At 37.8% G+C, this 14235-nt stretch overlaps 1 protein-coding gene across 17 annotated transcripts in view; it reads right to left on the reverse strand.

Annotated features, from left to right (window-relative positions):
• The window catches only part of UBE3D (ubiquitin protein ligase E3D), a 185040-nt gene that overhangs the window by 162408 nt on the left and 8397 nt on the right, over positions 1-14235 (reverse strand). For 14 of the 17 annotated variants that reach the window (NR_146809.2, NR_146808.2, NR_146807.2 and 11 more), the window contains 2 exons: positions 10939-11029; positions 1219-1450 (listed from right to left, as the gene is read on the reverse strand). Coding sequence is in view for 13 of the 17 variants with exons in the window: in XM_017011458.3 (XP_016866947.1) it covers positions 1219-1450; positions 10939-11029 (323 nt within the window). In the remaining 4 variants the exon portion in view is untranslated. Of the gene's footprint in view, positions 1-1218; positions 1451-6499; positions 6564-10938; positions 11030-14235 lie in introns of those variants that run through there. The other 3 variants (NM_001350604.2, XM_047419505.1, NM_001350603.2) reach the window with 3 other exon arrangements.

Genomic DNA, 14235 nt, shown 5'->3' on the forward strand with positions numbered 1-14235 from the left:
CATGGTTTCTCTGATTCAATCTTTCTCTACTACTTTTCTGCTCACAACTTCCAAATGTTTTTGAAATGTATAGCTTAATCATAAAGATGAAATTTAAAACACATATAAAGTATTAGTATATATTTAGATTAAAATACAAATTTAATTAATCATATTAAATATAACAAATATATATTAACTTACTATTTACCTTTTAAAATATAAAATGTAAAGTACTACATTTCACCAAAGTGAACCATATTTAGATAAAGGGATTTCTGTTTACAGTGTAAAATGAGGCACTTAAATAACTTTATCTGACAACAACTTAACCTCCACATTTGACGAATTTCCTTCATCTCCCTCAGAATAGTTCTATAAACTAATTTACAACCTAAGAGCTGCCCACCTACTGCATATTTCCTGCAGTCGCTCAGTTATTATTACAAAAATTAAATGAGTTCTGAATGAAATTTAAAATACAATGTTTTAGTTCCCACCAATAATCAGATGTTAAAATGATTCTCTGGGAATGATTTTACTTTTTAAATAATATCTGTATTGACTGGCCATCAGTGGAATGCTTTCTCACATGGGCCAAGCCAATGCCATTGATTTTCTTTTAAAATAAAGTAAAACACTTGTTCTCTGCAGTGAGAGAAAATTGCCTTCTTCCCAAAGCAACTTATGCAGCAAGAGCCACCTGACCTCACACTGTCAAGCACCAACTCAGACCCTGAAACACAAGCTTTATCTCCATTCCTGGGCTCCTCCATTCCTCTTTTTACTTGATGACATCTCCATTTATGACTTCAGCAGAAGTCTAGACTATGGGCAGAAATAGTAAAATACCTCAGCCTAATAGTATAGTAGATATCCTGGAGCAAGACAACACTTTTAACCTAAATCAGACTATTTAGGATAAAATGCACACAAATTATGCAATATTGTCCTAAGAACAAGAAAGCAAGACATTTTGTTTGTAAAATGGTAGCACTCGCAATTCTAAGCCTGCAGAGGTCTTCCTCTCCTTATTCTTCCAGGCGCCTGTGGCTGTTTTAGTTTAAAGCCATATGCTCTTCCTGTTTTGATAAAGCAACGATAGCGATGACAGTTGAAAATAATGAATTTTGGCCTTTACAGCAGTCTATGTAACAAGCCCTTAATTAGGAAAAGATTGAAGAAGTCAGTATCTAAGACAGCCTCTAAATTACCATTTATTTTGAAATGATATTTTACCAATTTACAATGGTTGTCAGAAGAAACACAGCACATCTCCACTGGGGATAGTTCAGGTCTTTGCTGCCACAAACTGGTTCTTAAATTCACCAAGAAGAAAGAGTCTCCAATAAAACAGTCATTCTCTTGCGGATGAAGTGATTTATTAGCAAAGGGGTCAGGATGACAACACCATTCTCCAACTAGAGCTCCCCAGTTCTCACTCGGCAGTGGGAGCACCCTGAGGAGCTTCCTAGTGGAAAGAGGAAAAATCATTTTTCACAGAACAAAATGATACTAACATTTTCTTAATTAAATGACCATAAAAGATGAAAGAAACTCATTAACCACAAGGTTTGCAATGCTAATTTTTTCCCCAATTATAAAAGTAATATATACTCACTACAGCTAATTTTGAAAATGCAAGGAGGTATAAACAAGGAAAAATCATCCTTTATCTCACTACCCAGAGATAAGTAACTAAACATGACAGTGTATTTCTTTGCCATCCGTTCAAAAGATATATCTGTACATATCACACGAAGTTTGAGAATCGTGAATAAACATACTATATCTTGCTTTTGTTGTTTTATTTAGATGAATCCTAATTAGTCCACAATATTCTATTCCATAAGTACATCAAAACTTTTGAGATGATTCCCTCAACTGTTAGATATTTAGGTTTTGAGTTTTTCATTATCAATAACTCTGTGATGAATGTTCCTGTTAGAATATTTATGAACATATCTATTTTCCTTGGAAAGAATCCTATATAAGTGTGAGATGATAAGCACAAACTATATGCATATTTTAAAACCCAACACCTATTTGGTGAATTTCTTTTCAGAAAGGCTGTGCCAATCTATAATTCTTCCACTCACCCTTTTCATAAATGAATACTATCATTTTTCCATTTCTGCATTAGTAATAGGTAAAAGTATTTTCAATGCTGCTTTAACTGGCAACTCTTAAATTACTGGTGAGATTCATCTAGTTTTGCTACTTATAGTCTACTGTGTTTCTTCTGTGAATTGTGATTAGTGACTATTTTCCAGGGTGGTATTATTATGTTCTTATTAATTTGTAAAAATGTGTTCTATATTAAGAGTATTAGCCTCATGCTTATTAATCTGTTACAAATTTTTTTGGTGTTACTGCCTTTTATTTTGGTTTACGTGTCTTAATGGTCAGATCACCTAACAACTTTCTTCTATAATTTCTTCTATTACTATATTTTAGTAAACTTTTCATTTTGGAATAACTTTAGATTTACAGAAAACTTACAAAGGTAGTGTATTAGTTCCCATATACACTTCACCCAGATGGACCTAAACTTACTATTTTATGGTACCATGGTAGATTTGTCAAAACTACACACTTTGAATTCCACCTGTTTTTCCACTAATATCCTTTTTTTCTGTTCCAAGATCTAATTTATGATAATACTTTGCATTTAGTCATCATGTCTCCCTAGTCTCGTCTGGTCTATAACAGTTTCTCAATATTTCCTTATTTTTCAGACACTTGAGATTTTTGCAAAGATCAGGTATTTTACAGAATATTCTTCAATCTGAGTTAGTCTAATATTGTCTCAAGATTAGGCTGGTGGTATGGATTTGGGGAAAGAATCTCACAGAAGTGAAATGTACCTTTCTCATCACATCAAATCAGAGAATATATCATATCAACACAACTTAGTGATGCTAATCTTGATAACTTCGTTAAGGTGATATATGCTAAGTTCCTCCTTCTAACAAAACACAAATACTAGTAAATTAATGTACATTCAGATGTTATAAGTTAAAACATTTAAAATGTGAATGCTACTTTTTTTTTTTAACAATTCCCCCATGTTAACCATTTTCCTTTGATTTCCCCAATCAACTGAGTTGCATAAAAGGGCAATTACAGTTCAGAAGAGGGTACACAATTTATAACTGCAGAGGACAAAGCTAGAAACAAGAAAGGCTGATTTTAGTTTAACATAAGGAAGAACTTTTCCTTTGAAATTAGTATATGCTGCACCATTGGTATCATCAAAGTGCTGAGCCTGTTAAGCATACTGAGAAGTGATTCTTTCAACGTACATTTCCTATAAGTCTACTATGAATAAGGCATTCTACTGGCACAAAATATGAACACATACAGTCCGTCTCTCTTAAGGTACTCATGTTCTAGTAAGAAATATAGACCTACAAACAAATAACAAAAGCACATGTTATAAATGCTGGTAACAGAGTAACGGTTCTAAATTCTTGCAGTTGGCGGGGGGGGTGGGCGGTGGCACCGGGGGAGCAGTACAGATCCCTTTGAATATTTAAGAAAAGTGTTAGCCTCTTTCCTCAAATGTACATTTCTACAAGCACACAAAATCTGCATATTACTTTAGGGGATTCATGGATCCCCAAGACCAATCCATGAATTCAAGGCAATAAACACAAACTGCTACAAGAATAGATTGTACACAGACTTCAGAGAAGAGGTAACATCTGAGCTGGCCTTTGAAAGATAAATAGTAGTTCTCCAGGCAGTGAAAGGAATTAAGGGCATCATGGAAGAGACAATATGAAGGTAGATGCCATATATGTTTACCTTGCCACTGTATTTCTACTGTCTTACATTGCTCCTAACGTATATCATGAGCTCTTAAATATTTGTTGAAGAAATGAACTAGCGTATTTTGATAACTATAATGTGTGAAGCCCCTGGTTGCGTCTGTTGCACACTGGAATTAAGGGGTTAAAAACCTTTTCCCTTGCTGCTTGAGAATCTGATCTTTGGTTTAGCCACCTAGCTCTGTTACCCTGGAAACCAGGTAAGAGCTTAGGCATCCACAATATTGCTAGGCAACACTGCTTACGGTAAAAATGATCCTTGGTTGGTAAACTGCATCTGAACCAGGAAGAAATATGAATGAGCTGTAAATGTCTGATAGGACACTTTGGCCTTCCCTGAATGCAGTTTCTTCTTGGGAACCCTACAAACTATATCAAGAATTGTTACAAGAGATACTGGCTGCTTAAGGCAGGAGGCTTCTTCTGAGCCAGGGCAGCTCCCGTACCTCCCTGATGTGGAGCTTAGGCTTTGTACCTGGAACTACGTCGTGTGGGGAGACAACAGTCCCCAGAAAGGTATGTGAGCTGTCATTTGTGCAAACATGCAGAGCCCCTGCTGAGAGGAATTCTTGATGCTGCCCTGCTGGCAAGCTGGCAAGGAATGTGGCCTGTGGTAGCCTTGTGAGTCCACATGTTTAGTTAACTTAAAAAGACCCTTGGTGGCCACTAAACACACCTTATTTCATTTAATGCTCGCAACAACTTTGAGAGACAGGAAATACCATTTTCCTGTACAGAGGAGGAAAGTGAGGCTCAGAAATGTTCAATAATCTGCATTAAGCCGGGCTCGGTGGCTCATGCCTGTAATCCCAGCACTTTGGGAGGCCCAGGCGGGCGGATTACGAGGTCAGGAGATCAAGACCATCCTGGCTAACACGGTGAAACCCCGTCTCTACTAAAAATACAAAAAATTAGCCGGGAGTGCTGGCGGGCACCTGTAGTCCCAGCTACTCCGGAGGCTGAGGCAGGAGAATGGCCTGAACCCGGGAGGCGGAGCTTGCAGTGAGCCGAGATCGCGCCACTGCACTCCAGCCTGGGCAACAGGGAGACTCCAGCTCAAAAAAAAAAAAAAAAAAAAAAAAAATCTGCATTAAGTTCACAGAATCAGAAGTGATCAGTAACGGCAGGTCCTTAGAATATATTCCTTCCCTGGCAATGCAGAACAGCCATAGAGGAGGAGACTTGGGCAGGTAGGATGGTGGCAAACTGTGTGGGGTGTTCCAGGCCACGCTAAGGGGTAGGGACTTGGTACCTCAGGTGGGTAGGAAGCATTACAGAATTTTAAACAGAATAACAGGTCAGATTTGAATTTTACCAAGAAGAACCAGCAGAAGAAGAGGGCAAATAAATTGCCTGTTTAGAGTGGGAGGGAGTTAGGCCTAAATAGGTTCCTGGACTTTCTCCATCATTAAGATCTTTTGTCTCCTGACATACTGCATGTAGTGCCAATAAACAAACCCTCAATACAGTGCAAAAGACAACAATGTCAAAACCCCCTACATGATCAGGGAAATAAAATTGCACCAAGATTTACAGAGATCTGGGAGACAACTCACATTAACACAAAATATGATATTTTAAACTTAATGTGACCATATATCATGTGAATAAAAGCTATAATATGTCCTAGAACCATCTACATAAGACAGCAGGAGCAAGAAAGTGCCTAATCTGCAAGTCATTGCAAAGATAAAAGAGTTTTTAAAGCAGAAAAAATTTTTTTGATGTTTTGAAGAAAACATAAAACATTTAAGAACAAAAGATTTTAATCATTGCTTTACTGAAAGCATATTTATCTAAAACCCTGAAAAATATACTTTGATATGATCTACTTCCCAAGAGAACTTTCAAAATAAAATACATACCATTTTTTTCAAGGTTAGTTTTTAGGTAGAAACCTGGTGGAGCTCAAAAAAACAGTGAAACGATTTCCTGAATTTTCTCTCAGCCTAAGATTCTATAATGAACAGCAACACAAATTCACAATAAATTAAAATTTCCTAGTTATTTTTAATGTACCATGAGCATAAACTTTTAGAAAACTTAAAATATCCAAATGATATTGATGTTTAATACTTAAACATATACACAAGAAAATGCATGCCCCTTTAATAGAGGCAAAGAAAAATGAAGAATGTGAAAATAAAGGAACATACATAAGGAAAATAAAATTATGCCCCTTAGCTTTAAAATGATCCATTAATCAGTGATAATAACAATGGTAATAACAGCTTCTACAGACTGGATTATAATCAAGTGGACATTAAGAATATTAGTAACATCAACTATCTAAAGCTCAAAATATGGCTGCTGGAATTAGATAAATTCAGGTGACATTCTCTGACTGGCAGGCCACAAATCCTACAAAACTAGCTTTAGCACTTTAATATTATTACGTACATAGTATGATTTGAGCCATAAAAGTATAATTTTATTCCAAAAGTTTGTACAGTGTTACCAATAGTGCAGTTGGTGACTGTACTCTTTTTTAACCTCTTTGTAGAAATGTGACTGTATTCTTGGGAGTAGTTATTTTCAGGTTACAATTGTAGCTGGTCTGCCAAGTGGATCAATCAAGTGGTTGGATATCCTGACATCTCATGTTTCCCAAGATCCCATCTTGCTGGTTTCCCTCTAGGGTCTCAACGCCCTCATGAGATCTAGGCTGACACCTAGCACTACCTTACCAGTGCAGGGAGAACAGGGCGAACCATCCAGAGACCTCCGGAGAGCCACTCTGTTTCAAATCATCTGAAAATCGAAAGGCTTGAGTTTGAAAGTTTGGCCAACTGATTTCATTCACATATGAGATGAATTTATTTCTAAAATACATAAATTCCAAACACAAGGACTATTTGGCTGTTTCTGAGACTATTCACAACAAAATAAATTTTATTATTATTGCTGGATATTAGGGCCCATTAATCTTAACAAGAGCATAATAAAAAATTACATACATTCACACAAATTTTATAGAAAAACTGCTAATCTGGTAAAATGTAAATTGGAGAATTTTATTATAAAGAAATGAGGCATTATTTGGTTTCAAATAACCACAACAAATAGCTAAGAACATGTGACCTTAAATTAAGAAAAAACATTGCTATAATTAGCAGATATCATGTGTCCTGGTGCTAGTATTAAAAGCCATTAATGAGTCTTACTGTTTAAACTGTCCTCTATATCTTATTTCTATAATTAATTTGACAAGAACCTTTTTTATTTAAAAAAAAAAAAAGAATAAGCATTAGTCCCAGACTATCAAATAATCATGAATCACAAAGTACATGAAACCCCAAATACAAATGAGGTTCATTGATCAGGTAATTTTCATGTTTCATAGCACTCTAACAGGTTTATCTAATCCAACGTCCTCATTTTGCAGATGAGGAAACTGGACCCCAGGAAATTAATGTAACATGTTCCCAGATAATAAGACTAGCCAGTAAGCAGATCTTAACTCTGTTCCCCTGCTCCTACAGAGGTGCTCCCAATACAGATAAATCAACATATTCCAAGGTACCTTCCTGGGAAATATGTTTACAATTAGTTGATTTGGGGCACATACATGCTCTTTTGAAAACCTTTGGTCTTGTTTTCTATTTAATGAGCACAAAGTTGTCCTTACCACTCACATAAAACAGATAACTGCGGGAGAAATAAGAAGAACACTGGGTTTGACATTAATGGTCAACATGAAATCCATGTGCAGTTACTTAAGGAAGCGTCTTTTTCCATACAACTCAGTCACAGGGCATGCTACCTAAGAGTTACAGGTAAGCAAAGCCTTGAGTCATTTACTAAGGATTTCTCTGCATTACTGAAGAGGCATGCATATGCCAGGCACACAGGTGTGACATGAAAAGGTTTTTGGGTAAGCCTTGCTTAAATGAGGCAAAGGCTAAGTCAAGTCCACTGTTTCTCAGAGAGAAAAAGAGAAAGGGAATTCATTTCCTCGGCACCTGCAGAGTATGTGAATCACAGTCTTGAAACAAAAAGGTTTGAAACACTAAACTAGATAATTTGCTAGTTTGCTAATAAGAGCAATCTGGAAAAGGGGGTAGAAAGTCTATAAAACCAATTTAAAAGACCTTGTCGAGCATTAACTATTACATATGTTACATCCTTTAACTCTCTTGACAAGTTTGGAAAATAGGCCTTATTAGAAGGCTGTATTAGAAGAACCTGAGGTAGTACAAACACAACTTCCCAGCTACTAAGTCAAGAAGCTGGATTTCAAACCCAGGTCCCCATTCTCCTGCTCCTGCCTCCAGGGCCTGCCGATGGTCAGGGTTAGGGAGAGTGAGTGCTGCCCTTTTAGTTCTCAGTTCCATGACTGTAAAAGGGACTGACACAGAAGATACAGTTCCTGAACAGAAAAAATGGGGGCAACAGATAAAAGATTTTTCATATTATCATCCTGTTCCAATGAAACACAAATAACAGCCAATAATGAACCAGCATATCCTTTACTGTAAGCAGAACCCGGAAATACTGTTACACTGATTTAACATGTTCCAACTGTAACTTCTAGGAATCCCTATTGTTGTCTAGGAATGCATGTTTCAGAAACTTCTTCTGAGAATTCAACCAACGCCTAAAATAGATTGAGAGAAGGAAAACACTCTTGGTTCAACTACAATGTAAACTGAGATCCCCTGAACCTTTCAGGATAAAGTGGGCCTGTCACCGAGTACATGCAATAACTTCAACCCTTAGGTAATTCAAGCAAAGATGAGGTTCCCTCCTCTGCAAATTTAAAGTCACCTCATTTCTTACTCAAGACAGTCACTCTGAGGATCCTCCATTTGTAACCTCTCACTTATGCCAGAGTAACTCTGTGCCATCTCATCTACCTGGGACACTGACAGAAATCAGGAAGCAAGCAAGAGAGGTTGGTAGAAGGCCAAAACAAACATGTCAACGTTTATTCAATTCAACCCAGCAAAAATTGATTGAGAGCATACTATTTATGAGGGACAGTGCCTGATGCTGAGGAGGATGATGATGATGATAAGAACAGTAATTATAGCAGTAGCTAATACATACTGAATGCTTGCCACGTGCCAGGCACTGTCATAAACACTTAAACTCACTCCATTCTCCTAGCAACCATATGAGGTAGGTCCTACTGTTAGCCACATTTTTGCAATAAAAGAATTGAGGCACAGAATGGTTAAGTAACTTGCCCAGAGTCACACTGCTAGTAAATGGCAGGTGCAAACCTAGCTGCTCTGGCTTCTGAGTCTGTACTACTAGACAGACTCAGAAGGGACTACCCTGTACTGCACTCTCAAAAGAGTAGGGATAAAGGATACAGGGGACAACAAGATTATCTGCACTCCGAGAGCCTACAGTTTAATTGTGAAGACAGGCAAATAAACCTTAGACGAACACCTAAACCAACCCAGGGTTGAGAGAAGGCTCATAACAGTACCTGTCCCGTCAGCTGAATTCTGAAGTTCAGGTAGGAGCCAACGAGGGGGAGACAGAGTGTGGGGTGCATTCCTCCAGGAAAGGAAGTCACTTTCATAAGGCCCCAGGGTGAAAAAATATCATGAAAAGGCTGTGGGGCTGCACATTGATCACCAGAGCTGTGTACAGAATGCCAGTCAATAATGGCATGTTTTTTTGGGGGAGGAGGAATAGGTTGGGGAAAGAGATATGAAATGTGAGGGTGGAGAGGTAAATAGAGGTAAACTCATAAAGGTCCTAATGTAGCATGTTTCTGGAATTTATATTGGAGAAATGGGGGGCCATGGAGGGGTTTGACCAGCAGAGCCTGATGCATTTGAGAACAATTACTTAGCTGTGCTAAAATAGATCAGATGAGAGGACAAAACTACAGGGAGGCTCAATGGATGAGGAGTTGGCAACAAGTGTAATTAGGTGAACAAACAGTAGCCTCAACTAAGGTAGAGGCACTGGGATGGAGGAAAGTGGACTTATGTAAGACATGCTATGAAGAAAGTAGCAAAAGAACTTGGCAACTGATATGGGGGGAACCCCTTAGAGCAAGCTGACCCACGTTAGAGCATATGGCCCAAAGGCTTTGAATGTGGCCCAACACAAATACGTAAACTTTCTTAAGACATGAGATTTTTTTGGCAATTTTTTAAAAACTCATCAGCAATTGTTAGTGTTAGTGTATTTTATGTGTAGCCCAAGACAGCCGAAGGCTTGGACTCCCCTGCCTCCAGAGGGAGGAACTTCTGGCAACACCAGGTTTCTACCTTGAGGACACAGGTAGAAGTACAGCATTACTGAGATAAGGAACACTGGAAGAGAAGCAGGTTTCAGACAGGAAGGATCCGTTCACTTATAAGTCTTAGGAACATGGCTCAGGAAACCCATCTAATAAAGAACTCTAAATTCTTTAAATAGTATTAACAATAATTAGGATTTAATCTGTCTCTCCAGCTGATGAATGACTCGTGGCTGAAATTTTAGGAGGAAGGGTTTGTGCCCAAGAAACAAGAAGGCTGACATGAGGGACAAAAGAAAAAGAAATTAAAAAGCCTTAGGGACTGTAAAAAAACCCAAAAACAACAACAACAACGAAAAAACCAACAAAGAGTCCTTCCCATCTCAACAGGGCAATCACAGCACATGGCAAGAATAAATGACAAAATTAACCTAATCATTGACAAAAGGTTAATTTGTGCTCTGTATGCTCTGTTTTAATAAGCAGGAGAAATAGGAAATGGATTTTAGAAAGGCACTGATAAAAACAGTTCAAATAAAAAGTTTTTGTGCAAAAGCTTGTTATGTGGAAAAAATCACTGAATGTGGAAAATGTCACTCAGCATCGTGTTGGATGAAATGTGACAGGTCCCATGTTTCTTTTCAGGAGGGAGGTGCTTCAGTGATCAGCACAGGTTTTCGGCCAAGATAAGCACTCCTCTCTCAAAGCCAGCATCCTAGTGCTCCCCTTTATGTCCCTAAGAGCTAATCACTCTGCGATTGCTAGCAAGTTTTGTGGCTAATTTTGTTCAAAGTGACATTAAGCTGGCTCTCACTTTAAGGCCATATACTACTCCATTGGCAATTACTTGAAAAATTCTGATAGAAAAAGAGATAACCATTGCCAGGCACAGAATTAATCAGTGTTAAATATATTCCTTACCTGTCTTTTATTATGACTTCACCGCAGGATTGGCAATAAAACGTGCAACATTCTTGGGTTTGCGAGCTTTGATTAAACATTGAAATCAGTTCTAAAGGAAGTCAATGAAATAGCTAATCTTAGAGATTGAAACAAATATATTAACATACTTAAACAGTTCAATAGCCACGATAAATTACCATCCATAAACAGTTTATGATCCACCCAGAAGTACACATTTAATTAATACTATCTGATGACTCAAGCAGAAGCAAATATTGTGAAGTGTTTTTGAAAACAACAGATTTTGCTAAGTGTTCCAGAGACAGGTACTGCTCTAGATTACGCATGTAGCATTTGTTAGTTCTCTCATTCTAAAAATACCAACATTAAGGATGAGTGAAAAAGAACTATTTCCTTCTCATCAAGCTAACTACACAGATCTCCAACATTCTCAGCTTCCCTCTGCTGTGTCTCACAATAGTGTTTCATCAGTGTGAACAAATAGAGCTCTTAAATTTGAGTTTAATTTTTTTTTTTTTTGAGATGGAGTCTTGTTCTGTCACCCAGGCTGGAGTGCAGTGGCGCAACCTGGGCTCACTGCAATCTCTGCCTCCTGGGTTCAAGCAATTCTCTGCCTCAGCCTCCCGCGTAGCTGGGATTACAGGCGCCCATCACCATGCCTGGCTAATTTTTGTATTTTTAGTAGAGACGGGGTTTCACCATCTTGGCCAGTCTGGTCTTGCATTCCTGACCTCGTAATCCCCTTGCCTCGGCCTCCCAAAGTGCTGGGATTACAGGCGTGAGCCACCGTGCCCAGCCAACTTTGAGTTTAATTTTATTTAAATAAGGTTTATGTCCAGTCTAGCATATAACCATATGAACAAACAAAGATCTCAAACTAATGTTTATTGGACACCTCCCTGGGAATGAAATGGCTCCAAAAAGAGTCCAGTTTTCCCAGATCAAAAATCAATTTCTAATGAAAGCTATGGTAAAACGTTGAAAGCTGTGGGGAAAAATGTATATTTCTCACACTATGGGAAAGAGCAGCATAAGGCCGCATGTTCCCTTAGTTTCTATTATTTCTTTTATGAAATAAGGAAACTTTCATTTAAAAGAATGAACTAAAATATGTCTATAAAAATCTAATTAAAGAAATGAGGTCATATCCATCAGAATCAAGCAATGTGGATTTGGTTTGTGTTTTTCTGTATGTATTTTAAGATTTTAAAAAACTGATGCTAGAAGGTTTACGCCTTGGCAATTAAAAATCTTAACAGTTTTTAAGGGGTGGCCAGAAATCCCTATAGCACTAAGGTGCAATAAACAGTATTATTCTTTAACTTTGAGCAGATTAAAAGGAGACCTAGGAATCCAAAATATTTTTTCCAGACCCACAAACAAATTTTCAGTGAAACACTACCCTCTGCTGGCCACCCAGCATGATGCACTGGGTCGGGTTTAAAATTCAGTTTCTGATATAGAGGAATCCTGGGAGAGCGTTGCTGCGGGGGATCAATCTAATGCGTGTGCTCTAATAGATCCTACTGTAGCTAGTTCCACACCGAGGGTCACAGTTTGACACTCAAAATAGCAGTATACCAGTATGATGTTTACTATAGTTGTCCTTAAAAGGGTGTTCTTAGCATTGAAAAGTCATCTTTTTAAAAAACCCTGAAACACAAACTGAAGGCTAAAACTTTCAAGTCACTTCCTACAAAACAGTTTGATTCAAGTTCACACCAGTACATATCTATTCATATTTATTCATTCCACAAATATTTATACACCATCTATTATATGGAAAGCACTCAGGCAATTAAGTGCTGAGGAATCTGTTTTGCATACTCTTTCATGCACTATGGAACAGGACTTTGATAATTTTCCTTTTCAGATATTTGAGCAAAATATATTAAAAGTGTAAAGAAATAGGAGACCAGTGAACACAAACAATATGCAAATCAGCACATAGCAGTCAATTTATTTTGTCCTATAGTTTAAACAATGTTTGCAGATTTAAATTTTTAAAAATAATTCCAGTTTTGATATTTGTATATTCAGTTACAGAATACAGAATATGGATGGGCAAAAACCCAATACTATGTCCCTGGTGGTCTCTATTCCTCCATCTCTAAAATCACAATCCCAGAAAACACTCCACTGTGGCTTTCATGCTTGCCTTTCCCAAATCTCAGAACCCAACACAAAATTCCTGCTGTGGTTACTCTTGTGAAAGAGGTAACTGTTGTGAAGGAGAAGGTGATGACAACACAACATCCAGCCTCCCATGGCCTCTTCCCTGAAACAACACTTTCTCTGCCCATTATTAGGTGCAATCAGGGAGTCTACTTCCCAGCTCGGTGACCCTAACCTTCTTGCTATGGTTATTCCAACAGTCATTCCTAGTATTTATCCTACAACATTTAAGTGCCATGACATCTCTTTTCCCTACCCTTTGTTCCTAAAACTAACCCTGCCCAACTCAAACTAGTTATTCACTAACCCAGGACTTGAGCAAAAATTGCTCTCCAGTAAAAAAGAAATGAAACCCTCTCTATCTTCTCTTTCCTCACAAAAGCCAAGAGCACAGACTCAGGGGAATACTCAACATCTCCTAAATGGCTCTTCCAAACACTCCTCCTGACCCCATCTCCAGGATCCACACAGCGCAGATGAAAGGTTTATTACAGATGAGGCAGCAGCGAAGTGTCAGTGTGCAGCTGAAAGAATTACAATCTTTCTCTGATAATAAACATCACATAAGTCTTTTACAGCCTATTTCCCCCTTTGACATAATTTTAATCCCCCAAAGCATATATTACGTACATTGTAATAGATGTAATGAACCAATAATTTTATACAATAAATAACCCTGAGGTCTTAGAAAAAGCAAATTTTCCACTGCCTTACCGAATCATTATACCAGTTACAAAATGTTGTAAATATAACAGGCATAGTAAAAGTTAAAATCAAATTAAGTATCAAACTCAACTGTAGGACCTTTTGTGTACTGTTTTCTCTATTTGGAACAGTCCCCACATGGATAGGATTTCCTTATTCAGGACTCAGGTCAAACATTACCTCCTCAGAGTGGCCTTCACTGATCATCCTTCAGCCAACCCTAGTCACTCCCTATCCCATTATTCTGTTTTATATTATCATAACACTTTTCTTAATATTTAAATTGTTTGCTCATTATCTGCTCCCACCAATTAGAATGTAAGCTCCATGAGAGCAGACACCTCCCCTACCTTGTTCACTCTGTATCCCCAGAACCTAGATTGATGCCTAGCACATAGCACAAACCAAAATATT

This window comes from Homo sapiens, chromosome 6 (assembly GCF_000001405.40).
Source record: "Homo sapiens chromosome 6, GRCh38.p14 Primary Assembly".
NCBI classification, from domain to species: Eukaryota; Metazoa; Chordata; class Mammalia; order Primates; family Hominidae; genus Homo; species Homo sapiens.